Genomic DNA, 24,921 nt, shown 5'->3' with positions numbered 1-24,921 from the left:
GTGGATATTATCACCGTAGGGGCTGCAGCCCAATCAGTGGCATCACACCCTGACATGGGAAGCTCCAGGCCCAGCCAGTGATGCCACCAGACATGGAGAAAGGCCTTCCCCACTAACTCCAGATGACCTGCACCATCATCGAGTTCAAAGTGCTATTCCACAGAAAATCCTTTCCCACTGGTATTCTTTATGAAGGATCTGCTTTAAGACGCAGCTGCAGAGTCACATCACCTCATTAGCCAGTGGGACTTTGCACAGGCCATTGACATTTTAAACTATTTAATAATAAATACTTATATGGTATCTACTAATATGCTAAGCAGTGTTTTAAGCATGTGGCTGAGATTAACTCACTGTATCCTCACAACAATGTTGTGAGGCAGGTATTATTTTATTATCCCCACTTGTTGAGGAGGAAAGTGAGGCACACAGAGGCTAAATATCTTGCCCAAAGTTACAACACTAGCAGATGGTGCCAAGTTTGAGCTCAAGTGGTCTGACTCCAGAGTCCTTACGTGTAACCGTGAGTTAAACTGTCATGAATGAAATCTTTGCAATCTAGCTTACAAAGAACACAAAAGAAGTGACAATGAGGATGATGGCTTCCAGTTCCCTCATCCTTCAGATCTACTTGGTCACATGGTCCGGGCTTTCTCAGGAAGAGGCAAAAGCAAGCTCCTCTCCTGTGACTACCCAAGACTGCTCTCCTGTGGTGATTGAAACCCATGTGGTCTTATGCACACCTGCTCTCAGGCTACTATAGAATCAATGCTTCCCTGACACCTGCTCATTAGGCCTTGTTCCCCTGGTACTTACCCTAAAAACCAGAGTTAGACCCAGCAGGAAGGGTTTTTCTATGGACATTAGTTTAAATTGATGCTTTTTCTGGTGTGGCTTTGAAACCTCAGACTGATTTTTTTTTTCATTGTCTTTTGAAGTCCTATGTGATCATTATTCTAGATAAAATATACTAGCAGCTGAGCCCGGCTCACGTCTGTAATCCCAGCACTTTGGGAGGCCGAGGCGGGCGGATCACCTGAGGTCAGGAGTCTGAGACCAGCCTGGCCAACATGGTGAAATCCCGTCTCTACTAAAAATACAAAAATTAGCCAGGCGTAGTGGTGTGCACCTGTAGTCCCACCTACTCAGGAGGCTGAGGCAGGAGAATCGCTTGAACCCTGGAGGTCAAGGTTGCAGTGAGCCAAGATCAAGCCACAGCACTCCAGCCTGGGTGACAGAGCAAGGCTCTATCTCAAAAACAAACAAACAAACAAACAAAAACAAAAACCTAGCAGAAGTGTTGAAGCAATCTTTCAAACCACACCTAGGTAAATGAATGTTCCAGACCAGTGTACACAAATCCTTTGGGGATCATGTTAAAATGAAGATTTCGATTCAGTAGATCTGAGGTTGGACCTAAGATTTTGCATTTTTGGCAAGATCTCAAGTGATACCGATGCTCCTGGTCCGAGAACCACCCGTGGAGGAGTAGCAAGGTTCTAGAACATTTCTATCACTCCTAGCAAAGGAAAGTTCTGCAGAGGGAATGAGTATTTTCAATCCCAGATTTTCTCCTCTCCTGAATTAAAAATATTTCAAAACATGATTTTATTACACATAGCTGTATACCTGTATAGGATAGTTGCAAAGACTAAACAGTGATTGAATACAATAAATGTGTTTTCACTTAAAATATTAATATATCCATTGTACATCTGCTGTCAGCTTTGGGTGTGGTGAGTGGGGTACGTGTGGGACACTAAGCACTGGACAGGTTTCAGTATTAAAATACTTCTTAGGCTGGGCATGGTGGCTCATGCCTGTAATCCCAGGACTTTGGGAGGCCGAGACGTGTGGATCACCTGAGATCGGGAGTTCGAGACCAGCCTGGCCAACGTGGTAAAACCCTGTTTCTACTAAGAATACAAAAATTAGCCAGGCGTGATGGTGGGCACCTGGAATCCCAGCTACTCGGGAAGTTAAGACAGGAGAATCACTTAAACTCGGGAGGCGGAGCTTGCAGTGAGCTGAGATCGTGCTACTGCACTCCAGCCTGGGCGACAGAGTGAGACTCCATCTCAAAAAAAAAAAAAAGAAGAAGGGCAAGATATAGAATCTGCTTAACAAAGAAAAAGGACTAATTGTGCATGGGAGGTGAAGGGAGGCTAACAGTTACTGAATAACGATTCTGGGCGAGGCACTCTCATATTTGCTAACTCTTCCATTTTCTAAAGTGGTATGGGACAGAGGTGTTGGAATACCTGTTTTTACAAGACACAGGTTGAGGAGGCCAAGTGGCACAATTTATATGGGGAAGGACTTCAATCCAGACCTGCTTAATGATTCAAGTACTGTGCTCTTTCCACCCTCATCCCCCTGTCCCCAGCCTCTTATGAAGGGTGCATGGAGCTGCCTGAGAAGAAGCAGAGAGAAAGGAGACCGCTAGACATAATGGTCTTCCCGGGGAAAGAGGGCCATGGCTGGATTTGTCTGTAGAGGGAAAGAGAAAGAATATAGGATACATGAAAGGAACTCTCATGTGGACAGGAAGTGTGTTTTGTTTGCTCTGACTCAGCACATAGCTCAGTGTGTAGTAGAGGGTTGACTCAGCTCTGGGCTTGGGTTACCCCAACTCTGCCCATCCCAAGGGAGCTCTGGCCTTTGGCTCCTGGAGATAGATCACTTCTAAATTACCTCCATAGATCATTTAGAATACCTTGCCTGATGAGAATGCCTTTGTTCACCTGCTGTACCTTGGGTCATGCTAGATAGTTGATGCTAACAATGTGACTTATGGTGGAGACCTTGGCCATGGGTCATCAGTTTGACCTCTGACAGGGCTGGAGACTGAGTAACTAAGGTTAGCCACATAGGTACTTCATGCCTAGGTGACTAACACCACCCCCCCACCGCCCCCCGCAAACACACACACACACAAATCCCTGGACATCAAGGCTAGGTGAGCTTCCCGATTGCCAATGCTTCTTCCATGTTTTCTCACAGTATTGCTGGGAGAATTAAGTGCTGTCCGTTGAAATCCACTGGAGGGGACAACTGGACACTTGCTTCTGGTCTCCCCTGAACCCTGCCCTATGTGTCCTTTACCTTTGCTGATTGTAATCTGTATCTTTCCTGTGTAATAAACCATAACCCTGAGTATAGTAGCTCTTCTGAGTTCTGTCAGTCCTTCAGACAAATCATTGAATCCGAGCGTGGTCTTGGGGACCTCTAAAGAAGAATTTAATACCAGCCACCAAGAATCCACTTGTGGAGGTGGATGGGGGAAGGCTTTAGTTTGGTTCAGACCAGTAAGCACCTGTTGAGCACTTACTGCTCACCAGGTGCTGCTAGTTGTTGGGATACCAAGATGAGTAAGTCAGAATCCCTGTGCTTCAAGACAGCTTAGTGCCTGCGAGGATCCCAAGGAAAGCAATACTTTCATCCAGAGGTGCTAAGCACCATGAGAGACACAGCATGCTGCCACAGGGTTAGGGAAAGAGCTCTTCGCCCAGGTGGGTGTTCAGGGAGGAAGGCTTCCTGGAGGAGACTGCCCTCTATGAACCACCCTGGGTATTTTGAGGGCTTGGTTACGGCTCTTGGAACTGCCTGTCTGCAATTATTTAACAGCTCTCACTAGGAACATTTGCGCCCAGAAGCTCTGAAGCTAAGGTGAGGAGGAGTAGGTGTGTTTCCCACAAACCCAGGTCTCTGCTAAACTCTGTGGGCTGCATAATTCATTTGAGACACGGAAATCAAAGTGGTGCTGCATTGGAAAAAGGAGAACAGAATGTCTCCTGTGGCTTACCTGAGGCTGTCCACAGAGCATCGGGGCCTTCTGCCTCAAAGAGCTGCTGGCAACTGCATCCACCCCTCAGGTCACGATGCTGCAGCATAGAAGTCCCAGGGTCTGGTGAGAACGTCTTCCCCATCCTACTCACCCCTGCCCGGGCTGGGGCAGACACTCTTTAATTCCACCTGTTTTCCCTGGAAGGTGCAAGGGTGGAAAGTCTTGCTCACTTCTTAAGATCAGTGGTATTTCCATTCTTTCTCTCTTCTAAGGGACATTACTATCAAGGTGGGGTGGGGCTCTCCCATTTCTTCAAGTTCTTTTCCACTTGTAAAACCCTTCCCTCATCTATTCTATAAGTCACCTGCCCTCACCTGCACTTACTTTTTAAATGCTTTACTGTCTCTGTTACCTCCAGGATGCCCCTTTTAAAGAAGTTCCACAGCTGATATTACTCTATATCAGAGTAAATCCACGCAGGTCTTCTTGTGCAAGGCCCAGCACTGTGCCCATCTTTCCACAGAGGCTACTAGCCACGACACTAATCACTGTCATGGTTTATGTCACACCCACTTGGCCACCCTAGAGATCTACCACACGGAGATGCAGCAATATACCTCTCATTCAGGTATCCTTCCTCTCCCTCAGCCATCCCACCTCTAATGGACATTTCTTCTTTCGGGCTGCCCAGATCTAGGTTTGGGGAATTGTCTATTCCATGCATCTTGGTGGGAGGCAGGGCTCATCCCTCAAGAGAGAAGATTAAAAGACCCTAAACCTGTTTTCTCAGTCTCCTTAGATGGCGCACCCATGTGGGATTCTGACACCAGAGCTACTGCCTGAGAGAGGAAGGGCCCTGGGGATTCATCCTGGTGGAGGTGGCGGCAGAAGCAGCGCCATACGGCCTCAGGGCAGTAGCAGCAGCCGGGTGAGCTGTGGTGCCCAGAGTCCAGCAGCGGTGACTGCAGGGTCCAGATCAGCATGAGATGCGATTCTGGCTGCTCAGCCACGCGTTTCTTCTTGATTTCCTTCCTACAGGCTTCCAGCTACCCATGTCTCATCAGTAAATTACTTTCCCACTTATATCAGACACAGCCAGTTTCTTTCACTGTAAATGCTGGCTGAGATACACCACCCTTTACAGAGCACTTGCTTCTCCAGTCCACTTCCCTCCTCCCCTAGCCTCCCACCCAGGTGTGAGCCCAAACCTTTGAAGAGGTAGATGTGTGGAAAGGAACTGTGACTCAAAGTTAGGGACAAAGCTGATGAAGACTAGGAGAGAAATTTCTCTCTTCACTGGGAACTGGGAAACAGGTTGAGGGGTTAGAATGTAATTAGTCATTCCAGCATCTCATAAAGTCTTTTAAAAAGAGTTATTAATGCCAGTAATAGGAAAAAAAGAACAACAGTTTCCCTCTTTTTCTCTTCTGAATCCCTCTCCATTTTTTCTCCTTCCACCCAACATGCGAAGCATGTACCTTTGGCCTTCACATGATTGAAATGTTTGCTATCTATTTTCTTCTGCATTCAAGTTTTCAGCTGGTTATCTACATAATAATTGACTTTTTTTCTATACAGAACCTGAGGGAAAAATACCCTTCACCATCAAACACTGCAGCCTCCACCCACCCCCATCTTGCTCCCTACCCCTAAGCAGACACAATCCTTTAAAACACACAACATAATCTTCTTTATTTAATTGTTTAATCAGTTTACATTCCACAACTGACAGATTATTTATTTTTTCCATGAACAAGTCATTTAATTAATTACCAGACACTTGTTTTTCTTCAATCAATGGAAATACAATATTTCTGCCAATTCGAAAAAGAAAATTGCAAGATGCAGTCAGTTTCAGTGAAGTCCCCAAATGCTCTCTGCTTCCTCAGTCCTTTCAAAGTCACAGGAACCTGGCAATTTCCCTTTTCATCCCCCCTCCCACTTCCCTGTTAAATTTACCTCTCAGAACATCACAATAGTTTCAAGATCTGGTTTGAATCGCCTTTCCTGTAATTAATTAATTATGAGAAGGAACAGACAGTACAATAGATCTGATAAGATGTAGCATTCTTGTTAAGATTAAACAACACATTTATTCACATCATATCAGAACAAATTAACATAATATTTTATCTTATTTTAGCACCAATAACCACAGGAATTGCTGCCTCCAAGGGCAGAGGCATTGTTAGAATCCTGCAGTACACACCACTCCTTGTCTGACCAATCAGAAAGCACTATGCAAATTAAAATAAAGGTAAATAAATTTATATTGACTGAGCAATAATCTGGTGGGCCATAAACACTCCAGGCGTTTGAGAGTTTTGTCAGTTATGGTCCCTGTCTAATGACCATATATAAAACATACTCACCAAATCAGCTCATTTTTGCTCAGTAACACAGGGCTCAGAATGTTATATTTTAAATCAATCAAACCTTGTTATACTGACCGTTGAAATGCTTTGAGAATACCCAGGGGTTGGCTCCTTGCATTTTATTCTGTTCTCTCCATTAAGATCTCGATACCTATCTTTTTCACAAACAAAAGAGGTTTCTTCAATCCTAAGGAAGGTCTCCAGGCAGGGAAGAGAGGTAGGCAATGGTGGGTTGAGTCCCAGTCCAAGTAGAACTTGTCACCAACACCACCACCTCCTAGGAGACCCAGTCTGCCTGTGGCCACTGCCCTTCCCAGGGTATCTCCTTTATAGCATTTGACTTTAAGATAAATATTTAAGAAAATTAAGGGATTCAGAAAACAGCTCCAAATATTGGTGAGATGATATTAGCAGGTGACTGGCCCAGGTGACGAAATGTTGTAGAGATCTTTGTTCTTGACAGAGAGAAGGCCTGCCTGCCCCTTCCCCACTATATGATAAGGGGATCAGGTTAAGGGGTGGGAGGCAGTAGCTGACATTCCTGCAGCTGAAGAATATGACCTGCTTTGGCCTCTAGGACTTGGACAGGTCATAAGGGACATGACTGGGGCAGCGCCGACACCCTCTGGGGGCAGATGGGACATGCAGTCCACAGGAGTGGTCATCTCCTCTTACTAAGCAGGTGAAGCAGAACTTCCAGAGGCTGAGACAGCAGCCTCGACATAGCTCTGTGCTTTCTACTCTAGGCCAACATAATAAGACTCACTCCTGCCTTCATCAGCTATGACAAGAGCTATGGCAGTGAGTGACCCACCAGGAAGGACCCCCCCCATCAGTCTCCTAATGAAGAACCTAAGTCCGTGCTGTCCTATACAGCAACCAGTAGTCAGGTGTGGCTATTGAACACTGGAAATAGGGCTGGGCCAGACTGAGATGTTTTCTAAGAGGAAAATCACATTGGATTTTGAAGACTTCATTTGGAAAAAAGAATGTAAAATATCCCAGTAATTTTTATATTGATTCCATGCTGAAGTGATACTATTTTTGACATGTTAGGTTAAAATGTAGTCTAAAAATTAATTTCACTGATTTTAGCTGTTTCTTTGGACTTTAAAAAATGTGGCTACTAGAATATTTTAAATTGCATATGTGGCTTGGATCATGGTTCCATTGGATGACGCTGGTCTATACTACCTTCCTGAAGCTGGTTCCATCACTGTGACCCAGCAGAGGAGAGGAAAGTTGGGATTGAAGGTGCCTCTAATCATGGGTTGGGTCACTGGCCAAGCTCGACGTGCCTCCCCTCTCTGGGGCAGCTGGTCTTCTCAGTCCTGCAGGGAGACAGCTGTTTATGCTGCAGATTTACCTAATCCCTGCTCCTCTTTCCTACTTCCTATTACTTCAGGGTTACTGCTTTGAGGATCCTTCTCTGCTGCCTTGCTGAGGATTTTCTGGTGCTTCTGCCATCTGTCCTTCCCAAAGCTCCGTTCATCTTACCTCTGCTCCCAACCCACATCTTCTGCCTACTGCCTCCACGCCACCACTGCCTCCACCATCTTCAGTCTTATTTGGTAGCAACCCTTGGCCAGACTCCCTGCTTCTGACACTGCAAGCCACATTTATATGGTGAGTCATAAATTACAAAGCAATTCACACATCATCTCCTTGGATGCTCTTTCTCCTACCCCAGCCCAGTGCAGCAAAGCTCAGTCAGTAGAGACTGATAGTAAAATGAGATCGTCAAAGTGGGTGGGAAAAGGAATCTGAGAATGAAACGGTAGATAGAAGGCTCTGGACTCTGAGTGCAAACTGGCTGCTAGCTCAAGGTCACTTTCTGAGGGGCGAAAGCAGAGGCCAGGAGTAGCAGAGAGAAAACATCTCCTAATTTACCTCCATGCAGTAAGCACGCACTAGCAAGGGCTCAAAGTCTCTCTAGAAATAGCAGCAAAATACACAAGGGGACTGCGCACCCCCAGAGCCCTGGAAGCCCCTGATCCCCATTTGGCTGAGAAGACGTGGAGACAAGGTGAGGTAATGAGACTCCCCCAAGGCCCTGAGTGAGCCGGTGACAGGGCCACTCATGCCACCCCAGAGTCAGGTCTTTGTCATGACCCTTGCCATGACCCTTCAAACATTGCTGATTTACTTTTATTTTGGGGGAAGTGCATTCTACTTTACAGGGAAAAACCTTTAGAACAGAGAGTTCTAAGCAGACACTGATGACTGTGAGAGAAACAACCAGAAAAAAACCTCCTGTGTCAATGGTATCCCTCCCTTCATATCCCACCCTAACTCAGGATTTTAGGGCCGTCCACAGAAGTCCTCAGAAAACTAAGGGCTACATCATTGCATTTGTTTAATCTCAATCTCCCTCCCCTTTATTTTCAGTTTTCACTTTTATTTGTACATTTTTACAGATAGTCTTGAATAGCAAAACAGTCACACCATGGGTGGAAATGGGGAAGGAGTATGAGAATGAGTTCATGAAAGCTCTTCACAGGAAAGGCTTCGTCACGCTCACAACACAGACGCACTGGTACAGACGGAGAGGGTCTATGGGTGACCCGGAAAGGAAAGGAAAAGCTCAGCCAGTGGGAGGAATGGGGTTCTGGAGAGGAGAGAGGGATACAGAGTTCCTTAAGGAGCAACACCTGGTCCTTGGGAATGAAGTGTAGGAGTTGCATTTGCTGAGGTTGGTGTTTGCCAAAGAGATGCCAGCTTCTTCGAACTACTGCTGTGCAACTCTTCATGTTCAGACCCAGTTTTCTGTTTTTCACACCTGAACATACACCCCCCTGCAGTTGGGTGGCTCCCCCGTTACCAGCTGGGCTCTATCTACAGAGAGAGCAATGGCTTCCCTTCCCTTGAAGGAAGTCTCACCCTCACAAGGACACTTGATCCGCTGCAAAGCAGAAAGTGTGCGGACCCTTTGGGAAGGGCGTTCTTTTCTTGTTTAGAACCTAGGATTCTGTTTTTCCCAAACAGGATCACACCCAGACACGTCTTAGTGAATGTACCATCTAAAGGGCTTCCTTATATGAATTCATATGTTTTTGACGAAGCTACTGGCTTCAGCAACTGACAAGAGAAAGAAGATCCCAGCTCCTTGAGACTTGGTCTCATCCTAAACTTGAAAGATCATTGAAACCTTTCAGAATCTGATTTGCTTCCACCCATTCCTTTTGGGAATGTACAGCTAGAAATAACGTTAGGAGAATTAAAAAAAAAAATACTAAGGCATTGACCATGTGCCTTGGTTAACAGTTAACTGGTTTAGCTCATATATGCTATTTGCCCCATATGGTTTACTCATTCTGTCACCTCTGGGAATAACTGAGATGGATAAAAGTGCCCTTTGCAAAACTGGCTCTAGACAAAAGGAAGTCTAGGAATAGGTAAAGAAAAATAAGGAGCCAATTTCTCTGGGGGACCTGAATGAAGAATAGAATCCTTTAAGTGTGCTTAAGTGCGACAGGTCCAGCCCTGTTCAGCAACAAAGATGACCTTGCACTCTGGGTTATCCTTCAGCAGCGAGGCACAGACACTTGATGTGAGAATTCCATTCCAGCGGGGGGTCTTCTGAGGGATAATTAGAACATACATAACTCATATGACACTTCATGTTTGCAAATCACTTTGCAATTTCTTTGTCACCCTTAATATACCATGAGGTAAGGTGTTATCACTTATCCTCATTTTGTAGATGAGGAAGTTCAAGTATGGAGAAGACACAGTGCCCAGAGTCACAAATCATTTCAGTGCAGAGCTGTAGTGAAATTTACAGTAACTGTTACACAAGTGTAGCTTAATGAGTGAGTTACTCTGGCTTCCGCATTCTTACATCTATGATTAGATTGAGATGGCAACTGACCAAAAAAAAAAAGGAAAGAAAAGGAAGGAAGGAAAGCAGGCAGACAGGCCCAAAGAGACATCTTTTAGCCCTGCTCCATCCTGCCCCTAAGGTCTGGCATTAAACTTTTAGGCCTCTTTGCTATCTCTGGGGGCTCAGGGCCCTGCACTCTTGCTGCCAGGAACACAGGGTCAACTCAACGCAGACCAGTGCGGTTCTGTGGTGTACACTGCTCACATGGCCCCAGCTGCCAACCCAGAGACAAGCACTCATTGGGGAAGTTTTGAGGTCATGACCATTTGGATTGGGCCCGCGGTAGATGCCTCAGAGTGACTGGATTATGAAAAATCTTGTAGTCTTTTTTGTATTTTATTTTTCTTATTTTCTACAATGAGCAGTTATTATTCAGGAAAGAAATCCAATACTCAGTAATCACATATTCTAAGAACCAGGAATAATGTTTAAGAAACATTTTGCATCATGGCAGCATCAATGAAAAGAGGGCAAACACAGCCCCAGACATTGAGAGCTTTGAGAGACAGACACGAGAATCACGTGTGTATGTCAACTCTGGTGGGGTTCTTAAAAATCTGCCCCCTTAGTCTATCCCACACCAGCTGGAAGATGGCATGGAAGGCAACCCTGCTGGTGTGCACCAGCTCTTCCTATCTGCACTGAAATCACCTCTCACTCAGAAACATCGTATTTCCCTGGAAAGGGCTGGCTGTGTCCCCTGGGATGGATGTGTCCCCTGGGATGGGTAAGTCCCCTGAAGACAGGGAACATTTTCAGAAAAGCAACTTCACTTTAACTACAAGAATCAACCAAGTATCCCCCACAAACCACACCAAAGGATGACCAGAGTGTATCTCTTCCCACTCCTTCCCCCAGATATTTGAAAAATCACTTAACACTCAGCACATAATCCAGGTGAAGAGAGAGTCCATTCTAAATGCCTCTGGGTGATGTACCTGAGTTCATTATTCTGAATTTGACCCAGGTGGGCATCTTTGGAGACCTAAGCAGCACATCCTCCCACTAAATCAAGACAGCTACACACAGTGCATTCATTTCCGGCATCTTATCATGAGTGTGGATGAATATTGAGATATAGGGCCCAGTCTCAGAGTCCTAGGATATCCTACCCTCTTGTCACAGGAGAGGCAAGCATTGCTAGGTGGGACCACTCATCCCTGATGGGAAGATATGCACCTGGGCTCAGGGCGCTTAAGAAAGTCTTTGTCTAGATTTGGAGGAGTTGTCCAGTCTCTGTGACTCCATGATCCCTGAAGTTGAAAGGGTAGGGTTGTTGAAAAGCTAAGGCTTGGAGGAGGATTGAAGCTGGAACAGGCACAGATTTTATTTTTCATATTTTGATGCCAGGGAGCCACAGACCTCCTTATAAAACCTACAGCCACAATGAACAAGGAAGGGGGCTGCTTGGAGTCTAGGAGCCTCTCTACAGATGAATCACTTGTCTATGTTAATTGACCAAAGTTGATGCAGGAGAAAGTAGGAGTGAGTAGAGAGAGAGGAAACGGAAACAGAAGAAGAAACCGTAACTCCCAAAATAAGGAGAAAAAGATATGGGACCTCTCTCTAGGTAGAATACCTCACTTTCCTGAATCTCAAGGTAGTAGAGTAGGGAAGGAAATAAAAGTTGCAATGGGCCCCAGGCTCAAGGTTGACTTGCATGGAGCTCAAAGCACATACATGTTCATATGCCAGTAAGAAGTTTGAACTTGACCTGGGGTTGCGGCTGGTGACTTTAGTGAGGTCATTGACCCTAAATGCCCTCATAAGGTTGGGTTCCACTTTGATTTGGAGTTAGCAGAGTCTGACCTACAGAGCCTCACAAGTCAAGGCTCCTCTCTTCCTCCTCCTCATCTCCCTCAGCTACCTCACAGCCAGAAAGCTTCCGTAACTGGTTGGAGTCACATGTTTTAATCTGTGGTCAAGCCCTTATGCTAGAGGGATCAAGGTCACCTGAGAAGTCCTCCCATTGGCCAGGACTTGCCGTCTGAAAGGGGCCTCTATCCTGGTCATGTGGCTGGGCGTCTTTTGCTTCCCAGCAGGATCAGATCCCAAAGTGTGTTCGTATTTATCTGGTCCTGCTATCAAAGAAGTCACTCAAAGCCCCTGCTCTGGGCTGGTGAGTTGAGCCCAGGTTGTTTACGTCTTTCCTGGGAGCTTTCTAACATTTCAGGAACTCTCAAGGTTTCAAAGGGATGCAGTAAGCTTTGCTAAATGTCTGTCACAAAGACAATAATTGGATAGAGCAGATAATCTATTCATTGAAAGTATGGGATTTTTTTTTAAAAAGAGGATATAAATAATGATAGGTCTGTGAGCCAGCATCCTCAAACATGATTACTTACAAAAAGTTTAAATGGTTCATAGCAAATTTCCCCATTTAGAATTTTTCCCCTCTCTCCTGCAACTGGAAAAAAGCTGGAATTTCAGTGTGGTCATAGACAAGCCCTCTCCCCCAAATGGATGCTTGTGAACCTGTCTGTCCCTTCCTCGGCAGAGCCCCTTCAGGACGCTTGGAAGGAAGACAAAAGGCCTCTCAATCTGAGATACTTTTCTTCACTTTTCCTTAAGCCCAAGTATGCCCTTCCCCTTAAGGGAGAAATCTAACTTTTCAAAGAAAATTAGAAATAAAATGCCCAATTGAAAAACTGGGTTTTCCTGAAAATTATTTCCCTTCTCATAGAATAAATCCTTTGTTTTAAAAATAATCCTTAGAACCCCAACTGGAAGCTAACAACTTTTCCCGTTGCACACCTTACCCTATCGCCCAGCACACCCACACACAGGGAACTCACACATGAGACCTTTTGCAGAAGCTGACCAGAGTCCCCGGTAAGGAAGTCTTGAGTAGGGCACCCACACCTGTGTGCAGGTGTGTACTGACACAAACGTACACAAAATGCACCAGAGAGATACACATACAGAGAGATCCACATTCAACCCCATTCATGCACATCAGATGTCATATCATATCCAGATATGAATTACATACACGCAGTTCAAAGGAGCAGATGAGGGTGGAAGATAGAAGAGAGAGAAGGTAAGTGGTTAGTAGGTGAGAAAAGGAGGAGAGTGGTAGGAAGATGGGTTGGAAGACGTGTAAATGAAACAGATTACACAGCAGTGGAAGAAAGGCTGCTGAGTGCCTGGCAAAGCTCCCAAAGCATATTTGTTTATGAAACAAGGGGATTCTCTGCTACACAGTTGACCATGGCTACACCAGCTCAGGGATTCTCACCTGGCCTCCCCAGGGCTGCTGGGCACCAGCAGGCTCACTGAGATGACTGTGAGCGGCTCCAGCCCACTCCAGCAGACTCCCACCCCTACAGCGTTCACAACTCTCTGGCTGACTTTGCTTGCCAGCACCTGCAGTGCTAATTTGCTCAAATGAGCCCGAGACACTGGGGTGGATTTATTCCACCTCTGTTTGGGTGCTAGCCACTAAGACTGTTATTTTGGGATTCATGGCCTTGAATATCAAGAGGGAAAGGAAGAGGATGGAAAGAGTCAAGAGTTCTGCATTAATTTACACAATATCATACAAACTTGAGCCCATGGGAAATGGAGGTGCTCTCTCTGCATGTGACCCACTTCCTTTCGTTTGTACAGAGGTCACCCCTAGGGAAAGGGGAGATGTCCAGTGACAAAGGACAGCTTCTATAATGGGGAGTGAAGGTCTTGTTGGTTTATGTTCTTGTACAACAGCAACCAGAGCAACATTTCTTCTCTCTCCTGAACTGTGTGTTCCCCCTCTTCTCTCATGGCTTATGTGCCCAGCTGTGTCTTGAACTTCCAAAATTAGAGGACTAAATCGTGCAGAGTCCCAGAGCTGTAATGTGGAGAACCACGGGGGTCCTCTGGCCCAGTGGCTTTGTTCTTGGTTCTGCCCTCTGGAAATTTCAGCTATACCAGAAACAATTTAAAAAAACACAACACAAACAATAAAACCCCACGCTCAAGAAACATCCACCACACACACACACACACACACACACACACACACACACGCACACACACACCACTCCAGGGATCTGTAGCTGCAGAATTGGCACCCTTATAGGCCTGTCCCTCATGACAATTTCTAGGTCTCTGGGCCTCTATCTGGGGCCATGAAACCACTACAGTGATAAGAGAGACAACAGTCATAATGCAGTATTTCCATTTAAAAGGTAGAAAAGAAAAAAAGGAAACCGCCCAAAGTACACATGCACGCACACCCACACACACACATCACAGCATGACTCCAAGGCTCCAGTCTGCCCAGGGAGTGCAGGTGCGGCTGGGGACAGGGTGGCCTCTTGTTTCACTGGGTGTAAGGCAGCTGGAAGGTAAGACTGGGTTGTCTGAGCATCCACCGAAGCGTCCTTTCATTGATGCAGATCTTGCCTCTCAGCATGTTCTCTTCCCTTCCCACCTATGAAACATGGTCCAAAAGTTTGGCAGCAAAGAGAAAACGTCCTTCTCAGTTTGTTTTCTCTTCCACTCCTTGTGTGTTGCTGGTGGGCTGGGAAGGAAGTCCGAACAGGAAGAGCAGGAGAAGAAGTGATTCTGAAAATGGCCTCAATAATTTGGTTACATTCTAGGAACTGAGGGCTTTGTTACCCTGTGATATGACTGGTTAGGGGTGGCGTCCTCTCCCGTTGACCCAGTGGGTGGCACTTCCTTCTCTACATCTGTGCTGCCTCAGACCCCTTCCACTGTCCCTTCACCACCCCATCCTCGCCAGTGATGGGGATCAAGACGCGGTCGCAAGTGGTGGTGTTTGCTCTGTCTTCAAGAGACCATGAAGCCAAAAGTCAAGAACTGATGGAAGAGCCACAGGATGGAAAAACTTTCCCCATCTCAGAGATGAGGCAACACAAAGTCCGGCGAGATGCAGGTGCCTGAGCCAACTCAACTCTACCTTGGCACTGGCATCGTCTTGATTTAGTTTTGTTTTGTTTTATATATGTATATTATATATATATATTTATATATATATATGTATGTATGGGTTTGTTTTTTAGCACACTGTCCCATTCTCGGGTCTGGATTTAGGGTAGTTGGTCCTCGGGACAGGTTGAACAGAAGGGGCTAAGGTACAGAAGAATCCCGAGATGAGTGTGAGGCCCAGGCCCCCCCATGCACAGAACATGGACCAGCCATAGCCATGGCTGATGTCATCAGGGAGTCCGTACAGGTAGCGTGGGTAGCGTGACAGCTCAAAGTTGATCCCGGCCACACAGGTGCACAGTGAAATGATGCAGAAGGTTCCTGGAGGACAAGGGAAAAGACACAGGATGGGGAAATGGAGAAGGAAAGGGGAGAGGAGCGGGAGAGAGAAAGAGAAAAGTTAATATTATTACATTTTCAATTTTCTTGAGTAGGAAAAATGGGAAGTCTAGGTAAGAGCAGGTTATCACCAAGGTCAGTATCTGGAAATATTCATGGAGCAGAGAATAGTATTAAAGGATCATCACTTCATCACTCTCCAATAATGGCCCAGTCTTGGACACACTCGGGAAGTCTCTCCTTTGGGAAGATGCTAAATAGATATCTCATGAGCATTTTGTGTGGGGTAGAGTGAGCAGAAGAGCATTCAGTTCATTTTCCTAAAGCATTTTAAATTCATTGTATTTCTTTGGAGACATGGAAAACACCTACTGTTTGCTACTTCTTTAAAGAGAAAAACAATCTTTTCTCTTTCTTATACATAACAACTTACTCATACAGTATTAGGTTTTCCTTTAATCTGTTCACCAACAATTCTTCCAAAACCTGGAAATATTTTCCTTTTTCCTATAAGACATTTCCCAAAGTGTTCTCTCTGGAGTGCTAACGCTATGAGATCCTTTACAAAGTGGGAGGCAGAGTCAAAAGACGGGGAATCCTACTCATGACTTCTCACCCATGAACACGCATCATCCACGTTAATATTAAGGTAACTCATCTACCCTACTTTATGCAGAATTTCACAAACTTATTGATGATGGGACGTCCTCTTAAAAACATTACTTATATCAGTCTCTAATAAGAAAACTGCTATAAGAGGTAGAATGATATAAAATGGTTTAGAATTATAAACCCATTTTAAACTAATACAACAAGTTTTTGGTGTGCCTAAAATGAATTCAATAACTTTTCTCTGCATTTGCCGTGTTTTCTGTTCTTTATGTAACCACTGATATGAGAGCAATGAGCAGAAGAAGGATGTATAGTTTGGGAAGGCTGGGCTGGGTCAATGGAAGGAAGAAAAAGGAAAAGCACTTTTATAGGGAAGGAACAAAAGGAGGTGCATTCAATTTTATATTTATTATTAAAACTCTTGCTTTCTAACAGCCAAGTTTCTTTAAGATTGAGACTTGTTTCTTTAAGATCTAGCCTAATTTTTTCCAGAAGCTTCCTGGAAGACAAGGAAGAAAATATAGAGTGGAAGAATGAGGCTCACCAGCTCGTGATAATTTAAATGGCCACAGTTGACCCTAAAATAAGTATTAAGTGCTATGTGCTAGGAACTGTGCTAATGATATACTGGTTAAAAATGAATTATTTAGGCAGAGAGTGAGGGTAAAGAAGTCCTCGGTAAGGTTTTCCTTTTAATAAAAAGCAACCCCCAAATCATTTCTTTGAGCAAATGAGCAGCCTGTAAAATTGAGCTGCAGACATAGATAAGCAAGCTGGAAGCTTGCATGGGTGCATACTGGCAGCTGTGCCAATAGGAAGAGGCTGCCTGGGGGCTAGGCATGTTCAACATGGTGGCTGCATCTTCCCTTTTCTTTGTCAACCACATGAACAGTAAGGAGGAAACAAGATGGTGCCCGCCAGGTAGAAAATCCGTTTGCATAATGAAAAGATTAGGATGGGGTGGCCAGCTTCTTCGTGCCCTATGTAAATGTCACACCCGGTTCAACCAATCTTTGAGCCCTATGTATCAGACGCCGCCACCTCAAGCCGGTCTATAAAACCCTATGCACTTCGCCACAGACTGGAAGTCCCACTTGGGCACCCTTCTCTCTCTGCAAGAGAGAGAGCTATTCTCCTTTCTCTTTCTTTTGTCTATTAAACCTCCGGTCCTAAACCCACTTCTTGTGTGTCTGTGTCCTCGAGTTCCCTGGCGTGAGATGACAAATGTCGGATAATTACCCCAGACAGTGACACTGCCTCACTAAATTTGTGGCATGTACTAAAACCTTAATTCATAAAACAACTCTAAGATGTGGGTTATATTATCCCCATTTTACTGATAAGGACATTGACGCCCAGAGAGCTTAAGTCATTTGCCTAAGATCACACAGCTAGTAACTGACAGAGTCAGGTTACAAACTCAGGCAGGCTAGTTCCAGAGCCTGCAGTCTCATCCACTGTACTGTTTACAACTGGTGCCAGGCAAAGTGGGTCACTTCATGGGTTTCCCTTGTTTCACACCTAGGTTCCAGATGCCTTCTCTCTCACTCGGCATGGGTTAGGGCAGTTTGTAGTTTTGGAGGACTCAAAGCAGATCACTGAGCCCCACACCCACAGTTTCTGGTTCAGGAGATCTGGGGTGGGGGCCTGAGAATTTGCATCCTGAAGAAGTTCTTGGGGCATGCTGATGCTGCTGGCTCAATGACCACACTTTGGAGCTATAGGATTTGAAACAAGTTTTTACTGGAGAAAGATAAAACTTAATCGGCCAAAGCCCAGATCCAGAGGAAGAAATACAAATGGATTGTACATGTGAAAAATGGTCAATTTTACCAATAACCAAAGAATTGAAAATTAAAAGCATAATGATAATCTATCAAATCAGCAACACTTTGTTTTATTTTATTGTTGTTTTGCTTTTTTTTTTTTTTTTTGAAAGATCATCTCCAAAACTAGTAAGGGGGCAGTAAAATAGACAATCCCATAGACTCCAGGGCGAGTGTAAGCTGGTGTTTCCTTGCAGAAAGGTGATTTTTAAAATACTCATACCTTCGTCCTAGTAATTTCACTTTAAGAAAATAATCCCACCTGGGGACAAATATTTAGGTATGGACATGTGTAAGATTTAGATATGAAGATGTCTGTGGTGAGGGCGCATTGAGGAGCGGCTGTCGGAGGGCAGACCAAATGAAGCCCCAGATACTGGGCAAGCACTGTTTTCAGAGCTGAGAAGTTTGACCTTCATGTAGGGTCAAGGCACTTCGGTGACTTCAATCTGCATTTCCAAAGACCACTAAGTCAGAAGTGTAGAGGGCAGCCCAGAGGTAGGGAGACCAGTTAGGAGGTTGCCGTGGTCATCAGGGGGAAGGGGCAAGTCTGGCAAGGTGGGAGCAGAGCTGGGAGCTCCGAATGGCTTAGTAGATGATTGTTTACTCAATGATTATTTGTAGAAACAACGGAAGGTGACCTGGGCACAGTGACAGTATGACTAAAATGCATTTGTGTCACACATGTATGCATTTGTATTTGTGCATGTGTGTGGATGCATTTGTGCATGTGTGTGATGTGTGTGTGTAGTGCCATCAATGCTTGTGAGAACAGTACTCCAAACTTGTGGGAGTTACAGAACATCATAGTTTTTTTCATGTTGTGCACTAGGGCTCAGACTGAATTCTCTGATGGTCCCCAGGGTGGATTAGGTCTCAACCTAGACTCCCTGAATCAGAGGGTCTTGGGGAAGAGCATGGGAATCTATAGTTTTTACAAGTTCCTCAAGATGACTTCTGTTGGTCAGCCTGCTTGAATCCTTGTGTGGGGCAAAGGTGCTTTGTATGACCTGGAGAAGTGATTCCAGGTGGGTGGAAGCAGGGGCAGGAGAGGAGAATGAGGCAGCCTGTAGGACACAGCCAAGGCAAGAGCAATTGCCTGGGGTGGGAGAGTAAGAGGAAGCTGTGTCTTGGCATTAGTTTCAAATAAACCAGATTCCAGCAGACCAAAGCCAGCCTGCTCGTGCCTCACCTACTGTGGATGCTTCCAATTGCTGGTTTGTGAACCTATCATTAGATATGTAATGCTATAATTTACTAAAATTTAGATTTAGGACAGAAAGCGGGGGCAGTGAGGTGAGTTCAAGTTCAAGCCACCCTTGGGATGTTCAAGGCATTTGAAAACATGGATCTGGAGCCTGATAGAAAGTTCTGAGCCAGAAATGTGGTCTGAGTCATCATCTCATAAATTGAAGCTGTGGATGGGATTGAGGTCACCCAAGGACTTTATATAAACTGTTTCTACAGAGGATACTTAAAGAAATGGAGAAATTTCTTCTTATCAAAAGCCATGCTATGCTGGAGAAGTCCAGTGATTTGTTCTGAAACAGGACGTCAACCTCAAGGAAACTGTGGTCTTCCCAAGCTGACAGTAGCTGATGAAGCTGGATATACATGATTCTCATGGCATATTCCACAGCAGGGCAGGCAAGACACAAAGGATGTGGCTGATGAATGGGGAGTGAAGGGATAAGGTCCGGGTGGACCTAAGTACCAGTAGAAAATGACTCAACTTCTTCATAACATTCATCTTGCTGTTCTGCTGTACTAATAGAGTTGATGAGGAATCTTCCTGCCTTCACTTCCTGTTGGTTGCTCTGTGACTGTGGAACCTTTTGAAATTCCTTCTGTTAGCTCTTGTCAATATTCCCATAGATGGGAAAACACCTTTATGTCTCCCACTTGAGATGGCCCTTAAAGTAGACCAGTGATACAACTTGCTTGGAAATTCCATGTGTCAAAGAGGGAAGAGTTGGAAGAGGTTTGATTAATTTCCATATATGCTACTGTTTTCTGTTATGAGCAAGGATTTATATGTTTTTAATATACACATTTTTTGAGACAGGTTCTCTTCTCTTGCCCAGACTAGAGTGCAGTGGTACAATCATAGCTCACTGCAACCTCTGCCTCCAGGGCTCAAGCGATCTTCCCACCTCAGCCTCCCTAGTAGCTGGGACTACAGGTGCATGCCACCATGCCCAGCTAATTTTTAAATTTTTTGTAGAGACAGGGTTTCACCATGTTGCCCAGGCTGGCCTCGAATTCCTAGGCTCAAGCAATCCAGGCACCTTGGCCTCCCAAAGTGCTGGGCTTATAAGGATTATAAATGTGAGCCACCACACCCAGCCAATAATTTATATTTTTATGTACCTCTCCACATAGAAGTTCAAATTTGAAAATGTGTACTAATAATTAGATTTAGATAAATGTAGGTGCATGGTAGATCCTCGATAAAGGGACTGAATGAATAACGCGGTGCCATTCCTACTCAGCACCATATTCTGACAGTTTACGTAATGATATGCTTTGACAAACATTGATTGAATCCCGTACAGAGGGGGACAAAGGGGAGACATATGGGCAAGGACCCTGACTGACACAGATTTCTGTCTAGTGTGATGAACACAACTCTCTGCCTGTGGTTTGGTGGCAAACTGGGGAGTGTGGCATTCAAAACTCCTCCCCATTGACTGGCTGAGGTTAGGGGGCAGGTCCTCTAGGAAAATATTTTAAATGGCTCTGCTGGAAAAGATGTCTAATTAAAAGATGTCTAATTACAGCACGGGAACTGCAACCTCCTCCATTACCCAAAGTTCAGCAGTCCCTTGTGCAAGTGGCACAAGCCTGGGGAGAGCTACTGATGCAGATGAGGGGGCTTCTACTCAGAAAAGAGTCCGTATGCATCCCCTCTATGGGAAAGATAAAAGTCCTGCTCTCCCCAGCAGGAGCAGACCATGGCCTCTGGGGCTAAGTCTTCATTGTATTTCACATAAGCATTTATTGATACATAAGTGAGGATCCAAGAACTAGAATAAATAGTAATGCATAGTCATATCTTCTTAGTAACGCCCACTATGAATTGGGGTTTGGGCCTAATCCCATTCAGACTCCAATACTAACTGTAGTCGTGGTGTAACAACAACATGAAAAAACTCTGCCCCCAACCCTTCCTTTGGGAGCTGGGTTCTGCTGCGTGCTCCACACACTGGCTGTAAGCAGTGCCAGGCATAACCCTGGCCAGGGCAGTCATGACAGTAGGAGTGGTGGCTGGTGGTAAGCAATGCCAGGTCTTGGGGAGGGGGCATTGGTGGCATAGTAACTGTGATGATGGGGAAGGAGGGAGACATTCCTGTGGCTGTGGGCGCCCTAGTATGCAGAACAGCAAATCAGCAAATATTTGTTGAACTTCTATCTTTGGGTCAAGCTTTATGATACATGCTAGGGACATCAAAGTAAGAATAAGACATGATCCCTGCCCTTAAGAATCTTTAATCAATCTAAAATAAGAATTAATCTTTAATGAATCTAAAATAAAAAGCTTTTTAAAAAAGCTTATACTCTAGGCAGAGATATGAGACGTGCATAAATGAAAAGTTGAAGATGAAGTGAAAATAGTATCAGACTGAGGGTGAAGAGACCTGAGTTTGTTATCAGCCCTGAATGGTGGGTCCCCGATCTGTAAAATCAGGGAGCTGGAGTAGAGGACTGTAAGGTTCCCTCCCAAGTCTAGAAGTCTCTAGGAAGAGCGTGAGTCATAAATATCCAGTAGCAACTGGTAAGAGTTATACTCTGATACAGATGACAATGCTAGGTCGGGGAGGGTTTCCCACAGGAGTAGAGTCTTGAAGGAGGGACAGGGTTTCTGCAGACAGTAAACAGAAAGGGGTCCCCAAAGGTCCCCTCCTTTCATCTCAGTGCCCCATTGTCCTAGGGCTCTGTGCCTGCGGTAAGACGGCATGCTCGCAGACAACACTTACTATGCCTCTAACTTCTGAAAGGCTCGCTGCTACCCTCTGAGTCATGCTTCCATCATTTCTCACACAGACCGCTGTAACAGATCACTGGAGTCCTGCCTTCTACTTTCGCCCTCAAAGAGTAGCCAGTGGTATTTAAAAAAATTAATCAGATTATGATTCTCTGCTGCTTAAAACGCTCCAATAGCTTCTATCACACTCAGAACACAATCCAAATGCCTGTATTCCTGTATCCTGCGCGTCTGGCCTTACCTGAGTGCATCCTGCCTACCTAGCCAACCTCGTTTATCACCCTGACTCCCACCATCCCTACACTCTGGCCACACTAGAGAGCATTCTGTCTCAAGCCAGTGAAGGTTGCCCTACCTCAGGGCCTTTGTTTGCACTGGCTGTTCCCATGCCCAGAAGGGCCTTCTTCCAGCTCTGCTCAGATCTCAGTTCAAATGTCATTCTCTCAGACTGTCCCTGGCCTTCTTCGGAAGTAGCATCTCCCCCAGTGGTTTTCAAACCCTGATCCATGGCGGCAGCTCAGGAGCTGCCACTGGGAAGGAGGGCAGGAAGTAGAAGAGACTCCCAACCCTCTCTTCTATTTGGCCAGAATAGCTTTGATTTGATCTGTTTCCATGTGAAATTTCATTGGAAGACAGAATTCCAGTGACATAAATATTTTTGAAAATCACCGGCTTTGTCCATCTGCAAGGGGAGCTAAGGTATGTCATTGGAGGAACTGTCCTTTGGATGGCAAAGTCCAGTGGCTGCTCTGTGGGTGGCAAGGCCATGCTGTTGGCAGAAACAGCAAATTGATCTCAACCCTCTTCCTGCTGGTTCTGGAAGGGACCTCAGACTCCTACTCAACCCAGTCCTCCAGGCAGCTAGCTGGAGCCAGCCAGTCGCAGCTGGTTGGAATGAGAAACGAAAACTAATTACCCTTTCTGTGCCAGGACTCTCACTGGCATTGGCTCAGAGTTCAGGAGTCCACTTAGAAGAAGGGATGGCACCACCCCAAGTAGCTGCAGGCTGAGAGCTGTGCTGTTAAGACCTGCTGACACATAAGCAGCAGCACCCTGCAGACCCCTGAGCTCCAGTGTCCCCGTCTGTAAACACCTGTGAGTGGGAAGGCATGGCCGAGGTGGGGAATGGGCTATGTAGACACACATGCTTCCTTTGATGACTGTCCCCTCCTGAAGCTCTTTCAGGAATCACATCCACAACATCACCTCGCAACTCCCATCTCTGAGCCCTTGTCAACACCTGGCTGGAAGAGGGGAGGATAGTCTCGGTGCTCTGGACCTGCTGCTCCCCCAGGACCCCTTCACACTGTGAGTGTGAAAGAGAGGAAGCCACTTTCATGCCCAGATTGCCCACTCCTTGTCCCAGCACCAAACATAGCTGCCTCCTCCGTCTCCTTCACATTCACATTGCTGCCATCCCTCATTAATATTTCTCTGGTTGCCAAATATTAGCTTCTAGTTTTCTTGCTAATTTTAGTTTTTTGGCTACCTGACACCTTCCTCCTGCTTGGCTATCTCTTTCCTCGGTTTCCAAGCTGCCCTGGCTCCAGGCTTCCCCCTCAGTCCTTACCACCCTCCACTGGTCTTTCCAGCCCTGCAGTTCCCAGCTCTCCTCTCTCCCCACATCACACGTCCTCGCTGGCAACATCCTCCCCTCCTCTGACTTGAACTCCCACGACTGGTTCATGTGATTATTTCTTTCTTTCTACACCCCATCCCCAGGGGCACGGTATATTCAAGGTGTTCCCTGGCCACACACAAATTTTTAGTGCTACCTCCATAAGCCCAAATTTCCGTAAGTTCCTGACTTATTTTATTCCTTCAAAGTCTTGCTTCCCTAGTAGGATGACTAACCATTCCAGTTTGCCTGCAATTTGAGGGAGGATGGTGCCTGGAACATGGGACTTTCAGCCCTAAAACTAGAAAGTCCTGGGCTAAGAGAGTCCAATTGGCTACCCTCTCTGCTGTTTCCTCACAGTCCCGCTTTCTACTCTGGGGCCAATAGGTAGTGTTGTAGTGACGACATCAGTGAATCCCTGCTTGAAAGTTAGAAAGCACCACGTTAGCCAGAGGAAACAGAAACTTGGATCCCTGGAATGCGTCGCTAATGTTAGAAGTGCCAGGTAGGGATAGCACTGTTGGGGAGCAGCTAATTTTTGCCACCCTGAAATGTCACCAGGGAACAAAGAATTAGTCAGCCAACTCAATATTGGCTCTTTCCTAGTACCACCTTAAAGGTTAATGACCAAAATATTTCTGAGTTGATATGCAGAGTTACGGAGCCAACTCCCTGCTCAGCTCACTCTGAGTGCTAATTGCAGGTGTATAAGGTGGACAAGGCAGTGCTTCCTGTGTGCTTGTTGCTGGATTAGCCTACACAGAAAGGGGAGGCTAGAACATGTGTTTCCACTCCGCTTAGGGATTCTCAGAGAAGCCACGGCAGTCATGACACAGCAATGGACGCTGTGGAGAAACAGCATCAAAATTGAGGCCTCAGGCTAGGCAGCAGAAATGCTCTTACTAATTCAAGAAGCCGTCTCCTAGGAAACTGAGGCCCTCACGAGGCTTCTCACAGAGATTCAGGGCAGTTACACATTGTGTGCACAGGCATTTGCCCAAATATCTAATCCTTATGTGACCAAGTTATGCCCACAACTTCACTGGTGCACAATTTCTACAGGTTTCTAGATCCAGATATCCATCTGTGTGACATTTTCTGCTCCCAGGAATGTGGAACGGTGTCTGCGGATCCCCAATCCTGGCTTCCTCTCTTGTTGCTATGTGGAGAGAGGGCCTATGTTCTGACTGGAGCCCTACAGGTCGCTGCAAGGCAGGCTCTGCAGAAACACCCACGTGGCTGTGTATCAGGGAGGTCAGAGAAGAAGCAGCCAAGTCCTCCATGAGACACCTCCCTCTATTCCCTCTCCAATCTTTAAAACCAACAAGAACCAAATCAGCAAACAGAAGGAGAGGGCCTCCTCCTTCAACAGTGGCACATCCGTCCTGGGAAGTAGATGATACAAAACCCTGCCTTTGCTTAGATTAAATGCTTCAGCCGCATTTAGCTCTCGAGAGCATTTTACAGCTTTGTTCAGACCTGCACGGAATATAAATTACTGCTGAATTATACACGATTGCATCATCAGCACTCAACAGGCAGGTCACAGGGTTTTACATCAAAG

The 24,921-nt window shown here is 45.7% G+C and overlaps 1 protein-coding gene across 3 annotated transcripts in view, besides 2 other annotated features; it reads right to left on the bottom strand.

Annotated features, from left to right (window-relative positions):
• Nucleotides 1–24,921, bottom strand: part of TMEM178B (transmembrane protein 178B) — a 437,233-nt gene that overhangs the window by 25,463 nt on the left and 386,849 nt on the right. Inside the window, exon 4 of one of the 3 annotated variants that reach the window (XR_001744505.2) lies at nt 3,806–3,984. Coding sequence is in view for 2 of the 3 variants with exons in the window: in NM_001195278.2 (NP_001182207.1) it covers nt 15,048–15,298 (251 nt within the window). In the remaining variant the exon portion in view is untranslated. Of the gene's footprint in view, nt 1–883; nt 3,985–5,453; nt 15,299–24,921 lie in introns of those variants that run through there. The other 2 variants (XM_017011636.2, NM_001195278.2) reach the window with 2 other exon arrangements.
• Nucleotides 296–797: an enhancer, noted in NCBI's record as "NANOG hESC enhancer chr7:141184837-141185338 (GRCh37/hg19 assembly coordinates)". NCBI's record gives its function as "activates a minimal SCP1, AML or CMV promoter by ChIP-STARR-seq in naive H9 embryonic stem cells {active_cell/tissue: H9 hESC(naive)}" and the evidence as "EXISTENCE:reporter gene assay evidence [ECO:0000049][PMID:30033119]".
• Nucleotides 2,874–4,073: an enhancer, noted in NCBI's record as "MED14-independent group 3 enhancer chr7:141181561-141182760 (GRCh37/hg19 assembly coordinates)". NCBI's record gives its function as "activates an origin of replication core promoter dependent on BRD2, BRD4, P300/CBP and CDK7 cofactors, and independent of MED14, by STARR-seq in HCT116 cells {active_cell/tissue: HCT116}" and the evidence as "EXISTENCE:reporter gene assay evidence [ECO:0000049][PMID:35650434]".

This window comes from Homo sapiens, chromosome 7 (genome assembly GCF_000001405.40).
Source record: "Homo sapiens chromosome 7, GRCh38.p14 Primary Assembly".
In the NCBI taxonomy this organism is placed as follows: Eukaryota; Metazoa; Chordata; class Mammalia; order Primates; family Hominidae; genus Homo; species Homo sapiens.
The sequence above is the reverse complement of the archived record's forward strand: the minus strand, read 5'-3'. Positions and strand labels throughout refer to the sequence as shown.